The sequence below is a fragment of the Homo sapiens genome, chromosome 2, assembly GCF_000001405.40.
Source record: "Homo sapiens chromosome 2, GRCh38.p14 Primary Assembly".
In the NCBI taxonomy this organism is placed as follows: domain Eukaryota; kingdom Metazoa; phylum Chordata; class Mammalia; order Primates; family Hominidae; genus Homo; species Homo sapiens.
In genome coordinates this window covers 212,931,196-212,949,371 of record NC_000002.12, presented here as the reverse complement: position 1 = coordinate 212,949,371, position 18,176 = coordinate 212,931,196, and the positions used below count along the sequence as shown (strand labels likewise).

General features: G+C 39.0%; 2 long non-coding RNA genes across 2 annotated transcripts in view; one reads left to right on the top strand and one right to left on the bottom strand.

The window, feature by feature from the left end:
* The window catches only part of LOC102725082 (uncharacterized), a 56,826-nt gene extending 40,340 nt beyond the window's left edge, over nt 1-16,486 (top strand). The window contains exons 3-4 of the long non-coding RNA XR_007088066.1: nt 5,568-8,257; nt 12,505-16,486. This is a non-coding gene — a long non-coding RNA (uncharacterized LOC102725082). The remainder of the gene's footprint in view (nt 1-5,567; nt 8,258-12,504) is intronic.
* Nucleotides 1,723-13,381, bottom strand: LOC107985980 (uncharacterized). The gene is made up of 5 exons (XR_007088067.1): nt 13,315-13,381; nt 8,627-8,712; nt 3,296-3,413; nt 2,316-2,461; nt 1,723-1,908 (listed from the first exon to the last, which is right to left on the bottom strand). It is a non-coding gene; the product is annotated as an uncharacterized LOC107985980 (long non-coding RNA).
* Nucleotides 16,487-18,176: the final 1,690 nt, after the last annotated feature.

The following is an 18,176-nucleotide window of genomic DNA, read 5'->3' as shown; positions in this document are numbered from 1 at the left end:
AGGATGGTGCATGAGCCATTTATAGAAATCAATGTGGCTGAAGCAGAGTCAAGTTGGGGAAGAGGAGGAGCAAGAAGTACCGTGGAACCAAGGCAGATGCCACTGTGTGGGCTTCCCTAGGACTAAAGCTTTTACTATGAGTGAGATGAAAAGTGATTAGAGGGTCTTGAGCAAAGGAGAAACATGATGATGGTTCATAATGTAAAGGGATCATTCTGGATAAAAGATTATAGGAGTTAAGGTGGACGCTGAGAAATCAGTAGGAAGCTACTCCGATTGTTCAGGAAAGAGTCAATGGTTTGAATCAAGGTAAATGCTATGATGGTCATGAGAAATGGTCAGATCTAGATGTATTTTGAAGGCATAGCTGCCAGACTTTGCTGATAGCTTAACTGTGGAACGTGGCAGATAAAGAGAGTGGTTTACGGATGATCTGGGGCCATTTATGCAGATTGGGAAAATTGGAGGAGAAACCGTTTAATGAAGGTAAAAAAAAATTGAGTTCTTTTAGAGACCTGTTAATTTTGAGACAACTTTAGATAGCCAAATGGAGTAAACAGTTGGATATAGACACCTGGATTTCAGGGGATAGGCCCATGCTGAAGATAGCATTTTAGGAGTCATTCACAATATGAGGATGTAGTTAAACAGGGATCTAAAGAGATCACCAAGGAAGTGAGGCACAATGGTAACAGCTAAAGTTGAGAGAATATTTAGTATGTGCCAGGCATTATTCTAAGGCCTTACTTATATTAAACTCAACCCTCATAGCAGCACTATGAGGTAGATACCATTATTCAGCACTTGAAGAAACTGAGGCACAGAGAGGCTAAAGTTAATCTTTTCCAGATCGCAAAGCTAGATAAGTGGAAGTGGCAAGATTCAGACACAGACAGGTACCAGAGTCCTCCACAGAGGAGCAAGGTCCACATTGCCACTTTCAGACCTTGTTTCTGCTTCAGTGTCCTGTACTCCCCTCAGTAATGGTCAGAACAAAGAATAAAAACAAAAATCAGAGTTTTGTACCATTTAAATTCTAGGCTCACACAATCATTAACGCTAGAAAAGGGAAGATTCATAAACAAGCTGTTAAAAACAAAACACAACAGTCAAACAAACCTTCCCTTAAAAGAAAGGCAAACAACCCAAGGAAAGAAACTAAGATACTTTTTATCTTATTCTATTTACTAGATTTCATCTATAGGTTGTAAGATGCCTTTCAATTTGAGAGATCTAAAAGCAGGAGGAAATGTGTCTTAGAATTAATGAAATATGACATTTAAACTTTTTTCAGCAGCCTGCTTATTTTGTTGACTATGCTCTAAGCATTATTTCACCAGGAATGCATTGTTTTTAATATGCTTGCCATTATAGTAGACCACAATGCCTCCTCTATAATAGAAATGACTTTCTTTTCTAAAAATAATATTCAACGTGAGCAGTAAAACCTTCATTTTTAACCCTCTAGTTATCTTATTGTGCATAACAGTTCAGAGTGATGTTCATAACGATGGCTGATGATGGGCACAAGAAACATGTATAATTTTATATTTTTATTGAGAGTGGGATCTTTATCTCATTATCTTGATATTGCTAATATAGCAGGGGCTTGCCAAATCTTTACTAAATTAAAATATAGACATTTCAACTTAAAATATTGTTCCTAGTGTCAAAATATTACCATGTACATATGCAAAATTCATATACAATGCTCACCTTTTATCACTTTTGAATTTTGCTGATGTGCCCAAGTGCAATATTCATGAAAATAACCATGTTATTTTTGCTGAGTTAATGTGTATATTTATCAAACTTCTTTATCTTGGGTATCTCTGGACATGACCAAACAGAGCATGCAGCATGCCACTAAAGAAGTTGTTGCCATTATCCAGGGTTGGCAAAGAGGAACTGCAAAGAGGCAAACAATTAAAACAGTAGCACAAACCTTGAAAACATTATGCTAAGTTAAATAGTGGTGATGGCTGCACAACAATGTGAATATATGTAATGCCACTCAATTGTGTACTCAGAAATTAATTTTGCATTTTATATATATATATTTTACTGCAATAAACAAAATGAACACAAACTGTAGGGAAGCTACAATGCTACATTTCTCCATTCTTACTTAAGTGGTTTTCTAAAGACTTGGCAGGAAAAGTGGGAATGCATGTACCCACTTATAGAAGCATATGTGCACACATCTACCGGCATAACATGCTTCTTGTCTCCAAACAAATGATTTTCCCATCTCCTCCAAAGCCAGCATCAACCCTGAAATTTGGTTTTTAGTTTACTTCAAACATGCAATTTACCGATTGATTTTAGGATATCTCTTCACTCAGTACTTGCTTACAGACCCCTGGAATGAAGGCCTGAATTTGCCCTGGGTTGAAGAGGCCTCCTTTGAAGTCATGAGCTGTTTGTCCTTGGGTCATTTACAATGGGACCTCATCACCTGCTGGGAGAATATGAGAGGCTGTTTGAGAAAGTCTTAAAAACAAAGTTTCCCAGGGTTGGGAGATCAAATACTTTGGAAAATACAGCTTAACGTCTTTTTCTCCTAGAACCAGGATATGATGGAAAGGGCACACAGCCTTGCCAGCTGGCAGATCTCGGTTCCACATCTGTCCAAGCTCCCATTTCCCATGTAATTTTATGCAAGTTATTTCTCTGACCTCAGTCTCCTTATCTATAAAATAGGGAACATTAGTACTTATTTTGCTTGGTTGTTATGAATATAGGTGTATCATGTGGGCACAAAGTAAATTACAGTATGCTGACATGACCAATGAAAGTTTAAGTCTTGAGGCTGTCTCCAAGCCTGTCCGTATGGAGAAGGCTTTGCTTGTGATCCCGTGGCAGGCAAAACAAAATCTGTAATACTGAAGGCCATTTAGTATAATGGAAATAAATCAAATGGTTATTTTAAACCCAAAGGAACTATAGCTACTTTGCTTTATATGGGGAGTGACAAACTCATATCAAGAGAAGTCAATCAATACCATTCCCTTCTCTGGAGAGTCTAATTGGGGCTGACTAAAGCAAAGACCTGGATTTCAGTGGCTCTCTCTAGTACCACTACAGGGAAAGAGCAATACTAGATAGCCCCTTGTTTACACCAGCCTGTTGATGTGTCTGTGGTTATGCAAGGGTGGAGAGCATAACTCTTCTGTCTAATAAAGTGAAAGGAATAGAAATTTGAGGAAAGCTCTGAAGCAGCAGCACCAGTGGGATAACTGTATAAATTACCTTGTTATCCCCAGACCTTTAATAGAAAGTGCTACACACTCACCTGATGTTTTTGGAGGGCTGGGGGAATCAAGGAGAAAGTTCTTTATTCAGCTTCAGGGGTTATGTGGCACAGTACAGACACAGCTCTTGTGGGAAGGCATCACAATTAATAACGTAACCTTAGAAGAAGCAATTCAGAGTCAGAATTGGCCAGGAAAAGCACATACCATCCTCACCTTCCCCTTCCCTGTTAGAATTTATGGTAAGAATGAGGAATATGGGGTTACCACCACGTGTGGGATAAGGCTCAAGTCCATTCCACTGAGTTGAAAAAGACAAGGCACCTCAGCTGATGCCTAAGGTACTCTAGTAATGGGCTGAGAAATTGGTAGGAAGACGGGTGCCCTTGCAGGCTCAGATACTGTTACATGCCCCTGAGCAAAATTCAGGATTGCAGAGCAGGAATGCACTCTACTCTCTACTTCTTGCAAAGAAAGGATCTCGTTAACTCTGGAGAAGAGATTTATTTTTTTCTATAGAATTGTTGTTATGTAATTACACATAAAACATATGTCTAGCTTCTTAAAGGGAACTGGCTTCAAATGAGAAAATTTATCAAAATTTCCTTTCAAAGTGTTTATCACTTGCTAACATGCATATTTCATACTCGAGCTCGCTGTTTGGATAAGAGATTCATAACTTCATTGAAAACACTGTCTTATTTCTTGAAAGCAGAGAAAAGGTGTGCAAGGAGACAGGCTCGCTCTTAGATATAGCTTAAATGTAGAGATAGATAAATTACCCGTATTCATTGTACTCTGTTTCACTGTTTGGTTTTGTTGTTTTTCTTTTTAACTGCCTAGAAGCTTGTTTCTCTGCTACAATTAGAATTTAATCACTGGTAATTTAAGACTAATAGACCCACAGATGGACATCTGTAATTAGGAAAGTATTTTTGCTTTTCGTTGCACCACTCAGTTTTTTTCCCTTTTTTAAAAAATACATTTTTGTGTTAGTGAAGCAAACTACTAAAAGTACTGAAAATACTACAAGTTGTTATTTGAGTTATTTCCTCTGTAAAATTACAGCAACTCATTTTCAGCTGGCTAGTTAGCTATCTGAAAGGAGGATAGCTGTGCTAGCTCAATGCTTGCAACACAGTAGGTTCTCAGGAAATATGTTACATGAAATAAATTAAAGATGGAATGAATCAATGAGTGAACCCATGAATGAATAAACTAATGAGAGTTGCCCCAATTTCTCTCCATCTCTAGGTAACAGTTCTGCTCTCTGCCCACCTTTTGTACCATTTCCCCATCAACAACATCCCCAACAACAGCACACGCACACTGGCACCAACCAGTGTGATTATATGAATGTTTGTCTAGGCAAGTGGGTACATAAACATTTTAGAGGTCTAGTCTTATGAAGTAGAAAGGTTGAAGTCTAGGGAAAGGAAAGGAATCTCTCTTCTCCTTCAAGTGCTTTCCATTTGTTCAGTGAGTACCGGTTAAATGAATGACAAGCAAATGCTCGATTCTGGCTATTACTCTTTCATCTGAGCTCTCTTGATTATCCCAAATAATTTTTACAAATGGCATAAAATAGAGATTTTGGTGTTTATTAAGACTGTATATTTAATTATGCTATTGTTTTCTCACAGAAGTGATACGAAATATATTTTTATTACATTATTCAAGATCAAATGGAAGTGCTCTCTTCCTCTCTCCCTCTCTCTCTTAACAAACTGTTTCTTCATGGGTCTGTGTGTTTGTGATTAAACAATTACAGAACTCCATCCAAAACTGGAATTTACATGGTGCTGTGAATTCATAATATTTCATCTTGCAGTGATTAAAAGAAGATGCTATACATAGTATTATTGGAATTATAACAGGTAATATTATGTTGCCTGAATAAAAGATTATTAAGGTTATTAATACCCAGAGATTACCAAGGTTTCTGTTCAGGTTTATAACTCTCAGACCTGAGTGACTTTGCCTTTTTCTTTCACTATTGGTACAATGAGAATATCTGCAATTAGATAATTTGCAATTATGTAGGACAGGTATGTAACACCACAGGAGAGCAGAAGCTGCAGCCGGCATGGCACATGAGGAGGAAGACTCAGAGACGCCTGACATATGTAACACTAGAATGTATAATACAAAAACATACATAGGCTGGAAGTTGATAAATAAAACAAAAATTCTAAATGTGTTCGTGTATTTTAAAGGACTTAATCTTTTTACGGTAAAATGATTAGTGCGTATTGACATAAATTTTAAACAGAAAAAAACGGAGAATACAAGAAAATATGTTGGCATTTGTAGGTTGGCTCCAGTACGTTTCAAGTGCCAGCAACTGAAGGTGAACTCTGGTTGCTTCCAGGCCTCCCTTGCATGATTTGGGGTTAGAATTGTCCAAATACCATGAGTAATATGGAAGTTCTCTGAAGGGTAAGTTCATGCTCTGATTTCACATTTACTTTCTGATAATTCGACTGGAAACATAACTGAGAGCCCTTGCTGTGGCAGCTTCCTGGAGATGGGAGTGATATGCAGAGTCACTCTGCTTGGAACTTCATCAGTTTATTCCCAAATCCTGGCAGAATGAATTCAACACTTGCTCCGTCATTGCTGTTGCCATTTCATGCTTAAGAAATAAGACCTAGTTCTTAAATAGCCACTGTCAACCACTTCTTCGATGCTTTCTATTTCAAATGCTATGGCTATGGAATATTCAAATTATGAATATCTAAAATATAAGTGATGTACTATGCTGTGCTTCTTTTCTGAAATACACTTTTACAGTTTTGAGTTTATAGTTCATAAATATCCACTGATATTTCTGTACTTTCTGTCTCTTTTGAAGACAGCCTTTAGATGAGGTTTTATCCTATGGGCTTTGGTGATTAACAGCAAAACAAATTATGTTGTTATAATACTTAATATTTATCATATCCTTTTGAAGAGATGTTCAAAATATGTTAGACATTTTCTCCTTTATGTCAAATGCTTTTATATACTACTACCACTGACTTATTTTCAAATGGTTTATTCTCATTATTGAAATACCTAAATGGTCATGTAAAATTAAAATAATTTATCTCATAAAATGAAAATTATGAAAATAAAAAGGATAAAGTCCACTTCTTTCATTTAATATCTTTGGATTCGTTTAATAGAGTGCTTAAATCAGGGGCTCTGGTAAATTTTACCATGGCTTTACGTTATGTCAGTGGACATTGTGTTTTAATCCAAGACTATGAAAAACTAATTGTAGATAAACAACAATTGAATAAATTACTAATTAGCAAAAAAGATGCCAAATTGAGATCACCTATTAGCATGATTTAGAGCTAATTTTATGCTTCTTTTTAGCTTTTCCTTGGCAATATCTTTTTTTTTTTTTTTTTGAGACAGTCTTGCTCTTGTCGCCCAGGCTGGAATGCAGTGGCATGATCTCAGCTCACTGCAACCTTTGCCTCCCAGGTTCAAGCGATCCTCCTGCCTCAGCCTCCTGAGTAGCTGGGATTACAGGTACCCACCACCATGCCTGGCTAATTTTTGTATTTTTAGTAGAGACAGGGTTTCACCATGTTGGCCAGGCTGGTCTCGAACTCCTGACCTCATGATCTGCCTGCCTCAGCCTCCCAAAGTGATGGAATTATAGGCATGAGCCACCAGGCCTGGCCTGGAAATATCCATATATTTTTATAGTGCTTCTTAAATCACTCTTTCTGTATCTATGAGCACAAAACACCAAAATAATAGTTATATTGAAGGTGTCTTATTTCTACAATTTCCAAGATAGTGACATCTGAGATAATCATTTAACAATTTAAATGAACTTTAAATATACAGACCACAGATCCATTTTTCTTGATTCAATAATATTAATGACATTCCAATACACAAAGTTCCTTATTAAACAGCAGAAAACTTCCCAGAAGTCTTTCCCCTACTTTTGTGTGATATTAAAAAACTTTGGAAAGTGTTCTATAAGAGTTAAGATTTATATATATTAACAATACAGCCAAGGTGCCCCTTTCTTTTTACTGCAGGTTTCTAGACCTTCAGCTCCTTAGATAAAGTTTATGAGAATATTAGAATCTAATAATGATTAGATTCCACTTAAAATTCGTTCTCAATTTATAACTAGAAGTAATTAGAAGTCCCTATCTTAAATCATTCTAGAGATGTACAAATAATATAATAACATTTCTAAGGACTTTCTGTTTCAATAAGAAGAACAGTATAGATTATGTCATTTTCTTGACAATTTGTAGTGGTAAAAACCACTTCACTGTGTCTATTGTTTTTGGTTTTCTGCAGACATGGCTATAGAAAGGGTGATTAGAATGTACTTTTTAAAAAAAGTTCCTAACCCAAGAAAAAGCTAAAAAGAGCCTTCCATGGGGAATAAAGCACTAAAATTAGTTGTCAATCATGCCAATACCTGCTTACAATTTGGTGTCTTTTCCACTAAGTTGCAGCTTCTTCAGTTGTTCTTAATCAGCATTGGTTTTTCATTGCAGTACCTCTTGCATCCATTTCTCTATTTTCAGTGTCCCCGAACTAGTCCTCAGGGACTCCATAACCTATTAGGTTTGACATCAAGTATAGGATCCTAGGTAAGTCATATAGTGACATAGAAGCTCTGTGAACCCGAGTTTCCTCATATGCAAGATGCAAGAGTGAGGGGAAAATGAAATATCTAATATGCCTCTGTCCTCTAAAATTTCATTATACTGCAATTTCAATTCAGGCTCCTCTCACATAGCAGAGCCCTGTCTTTGCTGATCTTTCTGCCTCCAATCTGAATTCTGGCATTTAAGATTTATTCTAGCAGTTTAAATCACTTTTGACTTTGGGAAATCTTTTTGTTAACTTCATTTGCTGTTCAAAGTTAAAACTGTCACCTGACTTTTTCCAGATATTCCTGCCTGTTTTCCAAACTTGAGTAAAACCACTGTGAAAGCTGGAGTTAGTCTAATACTTCTTGGCAGAACCTCATGCAGGTAACTTGGCTTGTTGGCCATAAGTCTCTTAGTCACAGCCACAGGTAATCCATTTCCTTCTTGGCTGTTAGGAAAGGGCCTAATTAGCGAATCCAACAAATTCCATTCCCCACCCCCTTCTTCCATGGGTTAGTTCTGTGCTCCTTTAGGCTTCTTGCCAGGCTGCTGCTCTGAGAGCGATCAAATTACCATTAGAGCCAGCCAGCAACAGCACAATGCTGTTTATCTACCTTCTACCCCACAATTCTTTTTCTTCATCAAAAGTTCTGCTCCATTCTTTTTCTTCCTAAGGAAACCTACCACTTCTCCCATTTGCTTATGATGAATCTATGATTTTGTTATAATTTTTAATGAAATAAAACAACTTACCCTTTTTGTTCCCAGTAACACATCACTGAATTTCACATGATTTCATGAGATTTAACTTCAGGAGCAAATGAAATAAATCCCTCCTCCTACCAAAAAAAAAAATCTTTTTTCATTTATCAAATATGCTACACATACTAGAGAAATGCAAACCCAAATGATTCAGAAAAGTTAGGCGTTTACAATTTTCACAAATAGGGACATTTTATTCTTTATATCATTTCAGTCATAGATTTCTACTTAAATTGACTTTCTTCTTACAATCGTCTTTGTGAGATTAGTGTATGAAATGATAGCATGAAGAAGTAAAAGCTATAATACATCAAGGTACATTTGGCAGAAGAATGACTCATCTTCATGAATTCTGTGTGTATTCATGAAAGAGCTCAGCTGGGCGGCCAGGTGACCGGTAGGAGTGGGTTATTTACCTGGGAGGACCTGGAAAGCTTTTTACACAGTGTCAACAGGATTGTTGTTAAGCAGCAAGTTGGCAAATATGGCAGGGTTGTCATTAAACAATGTTGGGATTCAGATCCACTGACGTTTATTTGCTTTTCAACTGTTCAACAACTCATAGAAAGAACCAAGCTGTCTTTTTTAAAAAAGCACATGCATCACTGCACTCCTTCTCTCTTTTTAAAGCTCTTGGCAACCCCAAAACAGGGTGAAATAATCCTTTAAGGTGAGGGCTTTTTTTTTTTTACATGGTCCTCTGTAAATGAACTTTGGGGGAATTCGTGAACTTATGCAAATATATGTTGCACTTGGTGTATAAGTATTTGCATACACACAATCTCCTGTCTAGGGGAGGAGGATGTATGCACATCTTTTATTAGAATTTAAAAGGGGTCTGTGAATCAATATAGTTTACAAACTACTAATTCAGGGTCTAAATTGAGCAGCTTTAATATCGGGGGCGGGGGGAGGGAAGAGAGACGTCACTGGAATGATGCATGTTCCTCTCATGCACAATTTTTAAAAGCCTCACCAGCTAGGTAGACATGAAAGTAAGAGATGGAGAACGCTGGTCACTGCTGCAAAGGTAAGAATGGTCTGTTGGGAGCAGCTGAGTGGAGACAGAGAAATTAATGTAATGATTTTCCCTCCCTACCACTTCAAAAATAAAACCAAAAATAAGGCAGGGCCATGTGCCAGGTAAGGTGCCAGGGTGTGCAGGGGAGGGGACAGCCCAATAGTCACTGGCTCATAAACGGTGGTGAGTGAAGCTGCTGGGGTACCAGCAGAGCAATCTCTTCAGAAGCAGGCAGATGAGGCTCGATCCTACAAATGAGCCCTAAGCCAAAGACTATGGGTTTTCACAAACTTGTCTCTCACCTTAGAAACCATGAGACCAAATGAGACCAAAAACAAACATCAAAAAAACAAAAACGAACAAGCCTTTCCACACAAGGGCATCAGTACAGCCTTGCCTTATTCATCCAGACAGGAGTTTCTAGCTTTTGGTACTCTTTGGAAAACTATCAGCGAGTACTGCTTTTCTAAGGGTCTTACTCACCAATTCCAGGCCAAGTGGATATGGGTCAGGACTTACTGCTATTGCACGTGGCTCAATGCACAGTCCTGAGGCTCACATCCAGAGTTCCCTAAATAACCCTCTAATTGCTAAATAAAGGGAAACTGGTGACTCAGAGTTTGTGATGCTTTGTCCCCCAATCCAGATACTTTCCCCACATCCCGTCAAGGTAGCAGGCTTCAGAAATGGCCATCTAACATCTCATTACCTTAATTTTGGTAAGTACATGAACATCAGAGATGCTTTTTTCCACGGGGTTGCCACCTTTCACTATGCCTTCCACATTCAGCCCAGTGCATCTACATCCGTCCGCCATATGTAAACAGTAACAAAGAGAAGTTTGCGGCAGCTGGCTAGAGCTTCTCTCCAAAATAAGCCTCAGAGAATTGTGGGGGCTTTTTGTTTTTGTTTTTTTGATGTTTGTTTTTGGTCTCACTTGGTCTCATGGTTTCTAAGGTAAGAGACAAATTTGTGAAAACCCATAGTCTTTGGCTTAGGGCCCATTTGTAGGATCGAGCCTCAACTGCCTGCTTCTGAAGAGATTGCTCTGCTGGTACCCCATCAGCTTCACTCACCACTGTTTATGAGCCAGTGACTATTGGGCTGTCCCCTCCCCTGCACACCTTGGCACCTTACCTGCCACATGGCCCTGCCTTATTTTTGGTTTTATTTTTGAGGTGGTAGGGAGTGAAAATCAAACTTCGACTTCCCTTGAAGTTTTAGAGAACATTCTTAAAATAGGCTCGTTTGCTTCCTACAATCTTTCCAGTTAACTGCACACATGCACGCAAACTCCATTTCCACAGAAGGTGAGATTTTACTCATCAAAAAGTCAAGTTATCAGAATTAACTGGCAACCTGTTTACTTCAGCAGTGCTGAATCTGCGTTCATATTCTAAATATGTCTATGTGTACTGATGGTATGGTATGTTTCTCAACTCTAAAACGTATCCTCTAGCATTAAAATGAAAACACTGTTGTTGAAACACAAACACCTTGAGTATAACCTCGTGCATAGTCATTTGCATATAATTGTGACAGTGTATGGTGAAATGTAATCATATGGTCCCTAATTTTGTGAATTTTGGATACAATTTCCTCCATAAAAGTTAAACAGACTTTTAGGTCTTGCTTCGTAAATGTATTAGTTCCCTACTTCTGATATATCACATTCGTGGCTTAAAACAACACCGATTTATTTTTGTACAGTTCCGGAGGTCAGAAGTCCACAGTGGCTTTCACTGGGTTAAAATCACGGTCTCTGTAGGGCTGTGTTCCTCTGGAGGTTTTATGGGTAAATCCACTTAATTGCCTTTTCCACCTTTTAGAAGCTACCTGTATTCCTGGTCTCCAGACGTCTTGCTCTATCTTTTTTTTTTTTTTTTGAGACGCAAGCTCCGCCTCCCAGGTTCACGCCATTCTCCTGCTTCAGCCTCCCGAGTAGCTGGGACTACAGGCGCCTGCCACGACGCCCGGCTAAGTTTTTGTATTTTTAGTAGAGACGGGGTTTCACCGTGTTAGCCAGGATGGCCTGGATCTCCTGACCTCGTGATCCGCCCGCCTTGGCCTCCCAGAGTGCTGGATTCCAGGCGTGAGCCACCGCGCCCGGCCCCTCTTTCTCCATCTTTAAAGACAGCAGGGTAATGTTTTCAAATCTCTGCTTATCTCACTCTAGCCCTCCCACCTCCCTCTTACAAGGGTGCTTGTGATTACATTGGGCGCAGCTGGATATCCAGGACCCTCTTCCCCCGCCCCTCAACTTAGCCACAGCTGCAAAGTCCTTCTAGCCGAGTAACAGAACACATTCACAGGTTCTGGGGATTAGGACTTGGCTATCTTTGGGGGCTCAGGACTTGGCTATCTTTGGGGGCTCATTCTTAAACCTACCAATTACAGTCAATTAATGGGTGCCTACATTATAATGCTTACTCTAAACATATTTATCCTTTAAAATTTGGTTAGGAATGAAAGTATTTACTTTTTGTTAGACAAATTAACCCCAGCCAGGTCAGAACTCGTAAATTCAAATGAGAAACTTTCCAGTGCAACATCTCAAATGTGTTTTTGGAGCAAGTCTAGACTAGAGCATTGAGAAAATACAACAGCTCTTTGGGCAAAAGAAGTTGTCAAGGTAATTTCCTTCTAGCCCGTGGTTTTCTCCGCAGATGGTGTAAATAAGTTAGCACAAGAATGGAGTGATGGCACGTGTGGTTAGTATTCTCCCAACCTGCTGAAAGCTGACAAGCCATAAAAACTGTTTTCCATCTTTATTTCCAGTAAAGGAATTAAGTAGCTAGCTTGCTCTGCATTTCTGACTTTTCCAAATGTTGTGACTTTCCGCCACCAGACATGGAGAACAACCACGGCTGTGCCCGGTTCTTCAGGTGGCTGCCAGTCCCCCCGTGCCTGCTCCCTGTCCCTGCCTGCCTTCCCGCTGATGATGACTGACGTTCTGGGACGGAGGAGCAGGTGTGTGGTGTCTGCCCTTGGCGTGTTGAAGCATGACTTGAAAGAGGAAATTTGAATTTTTCTTATTCTTAGAAGAGAGGAGAACCAGAGGGATGACAGATTCCCATAGGAAATGCACACACCTGTTTTTTTTTTTGTTTTTTTTTTTTTGGATTTGGTGCTCTAGGCAGTTTCAGAAAACAAACCCCAGAGTGAAACCATCAACATGAGAATGCCTTTGTGCCCTTCAAAATTATTCTCAAAAGCTAAATAGCACTTTCTGACCAGGTGCAGGAGAATTTTTTCCTCCATTTTTCTAACTCAGAACTAATTTTTATTGCCTTTCTGGGCAATAAATCATTTTTTAAAACCATGTTTGGATAAAATTATCTAGGAGATAACATCAACAATTTTTAAACACTGATATTTTGGTTTATAACCTTTAAAAACAAAATCTAAAGTATTTTGGACAACTATATATTCAAATAAGATTTAGATATGAATATATAAATTGTGTTTGTGGATGATAAATATGTAGCCTACCCAGAAATTAGCCTTATTAATTAAGAGAACTATTATCTGATATTTTTTCCCAGGTTAGGCCTAGGTACAGTTGTGTGCTGGTAAATTTGTAACAAAAGGCTCTCCAGGGGAAGAAAAGCCCTGATTTTCAGTGTTTGCCAATTTCCACGGTATTAAAAGTACTCACACCAAGGCCGGTTTTAAGCAGTGCTCCTGAAGTCCCTGAAGACAGAGTTGAAAAGCATCGTGCACAGTTGACTCTTCTAAGCTAGTCCGAGCTGGCTCCAACACACTACTGCCTATGTAAGTATCTATAAATAATACAACTTAGAGGGTTCATAAGCATAACAATGGGATATATTCAGAATGATTGAATACTGACTCAGAAAGAAAACTATACAATTTTGCTATACCATAAACCATAAAAGTGTATCATAGGAACTGTGACCAAGAATGTAATTGTTGACCTCAGATGGTCCTGATTCTTCCTTTTCTAGCTTCTGGGAACACTCTTTTTTGTGTCCTGTCCTGGTTATGCTGAGAGTCTGCATCTTGCTTCAGAGAATTTACTAAAATCACAGGAAGGTCTGAATTCTCATTTGTACATTCGACACCAAGTATATGGAGGCTTTCCCAATTGCTCTGTGTGAAGGACTTGAGTTTTCTTCCAGCATCAGCTGAAAATACCAAATGCCTGTTTGTGTGGAAATTTCCTGAGACTACAGCTCTTAACTCTCTGACCTGAGTAGTATATGTGTGAATTTTCCATCAGGTTGTATTCTCTGCATTTTTCTCTGCCGTATGGTGGCAAATGATTGTCCTAATGTATAAGATCCCCTTTCAGCCTCCTACCCCCAGCCTCAGTACTGCCCCTGAGCTCGGGAAGAGAACCCCTTGCCCTGGGCTCCTCCTACATTTGAGATTTGACTCTAGATATCTGTTGGCTATGTCCCTTTCCACTAAGTCTGTGGACCCCACTTCTAAGACTATTGTCTGGATTCTGGAGAGTCCAGAATTCTCTGCCTGAAAGGCTCTGAACCTATTGGACCTGTAGTGGCCTCTTTGCCTTATCCATTCTCCAAAGGGTAGACTATGCCAAATCCCAAGATTTTGATTAAGAACAGCTAGCTTGTGTGTTTTTTTGTTTTTGTTTGGTGAGGGTGGTTGTGGATGGTACTACACCTAAAGGCCACCATGGATGTTCACATAGCACTCATGCTTGTTGTGCAGACCATATGGAGCCAATAGCAAGAATGTTAAGGGATCCAGCAAAATCAGAAGGCCTGGGGGCAATGGCTGGGTCTCCCCTACCTGTTGTCACATTTCAGTGTGGACCTCTGAAGATTGCAAGCATCCTGAATTTGAACCTTCCTTTGTAGTGAAGGATGGAATCTATTTCATTTAAGAGCTCGTTGGCTTAATTTAAACTTTTAAATATTTAGACAGATAGTATATGAACCTCCATTTATACTCTTGCACCAGACTCTGCAAATATTGGCCAGGCCTTCCCAAAACACAGTTTTTTTTTTCTTTTCTTTTTTTTTTTTTAGTGTCCTCTTTTCTCTTTCAAGTGTACAGTCTAGGTGAGTAAGGATTAGGTTTTTAAGAGGGAAAAGTCCCAGAGAAAGTGTCATAAGCATGGGAATGAGTCCACCAAAGACTAGGAAGCTGATGATCCAATGTAATTGCCAGAGAGAATGTGGTGGATCTAACCCTTGGAGCTGCTAAGAGGACAAACACTGATGCCCAGACCAGCAGCAGGTCTGGCAATGGCAACTGTCTGGTCTCATGGACAGGAATACAGACTGGGTTAAACCGAGATCTACTTGTTTCTCCTATTTCCTAACTCTCCCCTACAAGGCCATCACTTTCCTCCTTGTGTGCTCAAGAAACCTAATAAATGTCCTGCAGGAAGAGTTACAGGTGCCTCAGAGTTCTGGACTCTCCTGCAATTGCTGTGTCACCTTAATCTTTTCTCTTTGACCATGGTCAGTTTGTGATTTGCTGAAGTGAACCAATGAGCATTTTAAACCCCATTGGGTAGGAAGAGTCATTTTCTGCTTGGACTCTGGACTGGAAACAAACCTTCCCATTGTGCAGCACTATGGTCCTTTCTGTGTGCTGTCATTAATCTTTTCTCAACTGCCCAGCTGCAGTGACTCTAGGACATTACAACATAATTCCTTCCTACTCAATATCATGTAGGCCACATATATGAACAGACCATTTCCTGACATTTTTTTCAGAAAAATCAGTATCAGTGTGGGAATTCAATGACACTCTAGACTTGTGTCATTTTTATGTACTAAACAAAATGGTACTATAAAAATTCAACATAGTCTCAAGAAGGTCCCAGTTAGTGCACATGTAATAACAATACTCAAGTTTCACTGGCAATTCTTGCAGGAAGGATATTCTGGTATCTTCTAATTAGTAAAAAAAAAAAAATACTAAGATAAATATTTTTGTGAACTTAATTGGGAAAATAAATGAAACTATCAATTAGCCAGGATTTGGGGAGCATCTGAGAACTATGAGGTATGCAGTAAACATGTGACTGAACTGCCTTTGCATGGATGCTATCATAAAATACATTACCAATTGGGTAGAGATAAATCTAACACACCAAAAGCAAGAGTAGAAAATAAAAACAAATCACCCTGCTGCTATTCCAAGGACCAGATTTTTTACCACAATTAGTACTGACTCTCTGAGTGCTATAGGCTATTGAGACAAGGAAGAAATCTATGAAGGGGAGTTAGGGAAAGCTTCCTGGAAAAAAAAAAAAAAAGGCTTGAGCTGTGCTTTAGGAAGATGTGCAGTGGAAGGAGGAGATTTCCATGGGATGGGGACATTATAAATATTTATATGCCACAGTCAAATACCTTGACTATGCCACAAGGTAACTAGATTTTTGGGCAGACATTATTCTGGGTATGCCTATGAGGATGTTTGGAAGAGATTAACATTGTGTAGAAGGAGTAAAACAGGTTGCCCTCCCTAATGTAAGTGGGTCTCATCCAATCAGTTGAAGGTCTGAATAGAACGGAAATGCTGACTCTCCCCTAAGAGAGAATTCTTTGTGTCTAGTGGCCTTTGAACTAGGACATGGTGTTTTTTTCCTGCCTTCACACTCAAATTGAAGCATCAGTTCTTTCTTAGTCTTGAGCCTGCTGGCCTTTGGAATGGACCACACCATCAACTGTCCTGGTTGTCAGGCCTTTGGACTTGGGGTGGAACTAAACTATCAGCTCTCCTGGGTCAACAGCTTGCCGACTCATCCTGCAAATCTTAGGACTTGCCAGCCTCCTTGATTGCATGACCAATTCCTTATAATAAATCTCTTCATATATGTGTGACCACATCCTATTACTTGTGTTCTTTTGGAGAACTCTGACTACTACACTAAGTAAAGACGCACAACATTTGCAAGACAATGCAAAGTTTGACCTGACTAAATTAGAAAGATTATGTTGTGGGGAAATTTAAGATAGTTGGTTTGATAGAGTCAGAGAAGATGAAGGAGAGTTGAGATGGATTTAGATTGGTGATGCAATTAAAATACTTACTCCTAAAGTCATCACTATCTCACTAGTCAGTGTTATCCTATTTTCCATTGAGCCTGAATTTGAGGATTTTGTCTCAATAGTGTATCTCCAAACATTCCCTAACAATCATATAGAGTAAGTGCACTAGATTAAACCTTTTGCAAATCACATAGGGATCTAGTTAAAATGCAGATAATGATTTAATAGACCCAGGGTAGAACCTGAGTTCTGTTGCTACTCCAAGGACCAGGTTTTTGAGTAAGAAACATTCCTTGTATAGTTATTGCTGCTTGAATCAGGGAGCCACTGAGGAAATACTACCTGGCCTCTGAAGGAATAAGGGCTGGTCCCGGAAAAAGACAGTATATTCTGGACTTTTTAAAAATTGTACAGTGCATATTACCTCACAAATATTGTCCTGGGAATGCATTTTCAAGAATTTGCAACATCAAAGAACAAAAATTAAGAGGAAATAAATATTCATCCAGAATATGTCATTTGAGGTGAGCATCATGAGTTTGTCAGAGACAATTTGAATCATCATTTTGCTAATATTAAAAGAGATGGCATTTTAAAATTTGAACTCTGAAAAGCATTTGCTGGAATCATTTATAAAATGGCAATATTAGCCATAATTGGCCTGGGTAAAAACTTGATAGGAGGAGATGGAGGGATTTAGGTAATTCAAATGGATCTTTCAGTTCGGTTTTCTCAGGGGAACAAGGCAGCATGTTGGTGGAAACTCTAAGGAAACCAAGTGGCAAGCCTTCTGAAAGCAAGGACTTGGATTTTCCTTTCAAGACATTTGCCAGAAGAGAAAAAAGCACAAGTGAAGAGATGGATTACGAACCTCTGATTTAGACTGTACCTTAGTCACTTAATGGCAACTCAAGCTGCCAGATCTCTTGTTCCTCCTGTTTTATGCCTTTTCTGTCACCCTACTCAACTAGTGACACTTGCTTTCCCACCAAGGCTCAGCACACCACTTCCAAGAAGATCTGGGCTAGGTGGGTGCCAGTCTGAATCTGAATCGCCCCCGTCCTGGGCTCTCCTTATCAAAAACACTTAGCAAATTGTATTAAACTGTTTTACTGTTTTCCCTTCTCCGACTCTAAGCTACTTGAAAACAATTATGGGTCACATATTTATTTTCATTCATTCATTCGTCATCAGTTATTTATTAAGTGACCTACCACATGCCTGGGCATGGTGATACAGTGGAAATAAGGTACACTCCATGTCCTTAATGAGTTTTGTGCATGAGTGCTGGTGCATGGGTGAGTTCTGGGCAAAGAGATCAAAGAGGGATAAGTGCTTTCTTAGGGATAAGGACAATGACTAAGGGTCATCATACGACAGGCATGGAACTTTGGCCATGGTAGTCTTGGGAAGCTTTCAGTAGGTGATGTAAAATGCTGAATATAATAAATGAAAAATCAATATTGATTGTATTTACTTTATCATCATTCTTAAACTGTCCATATGCTTTAGACACTTCTCT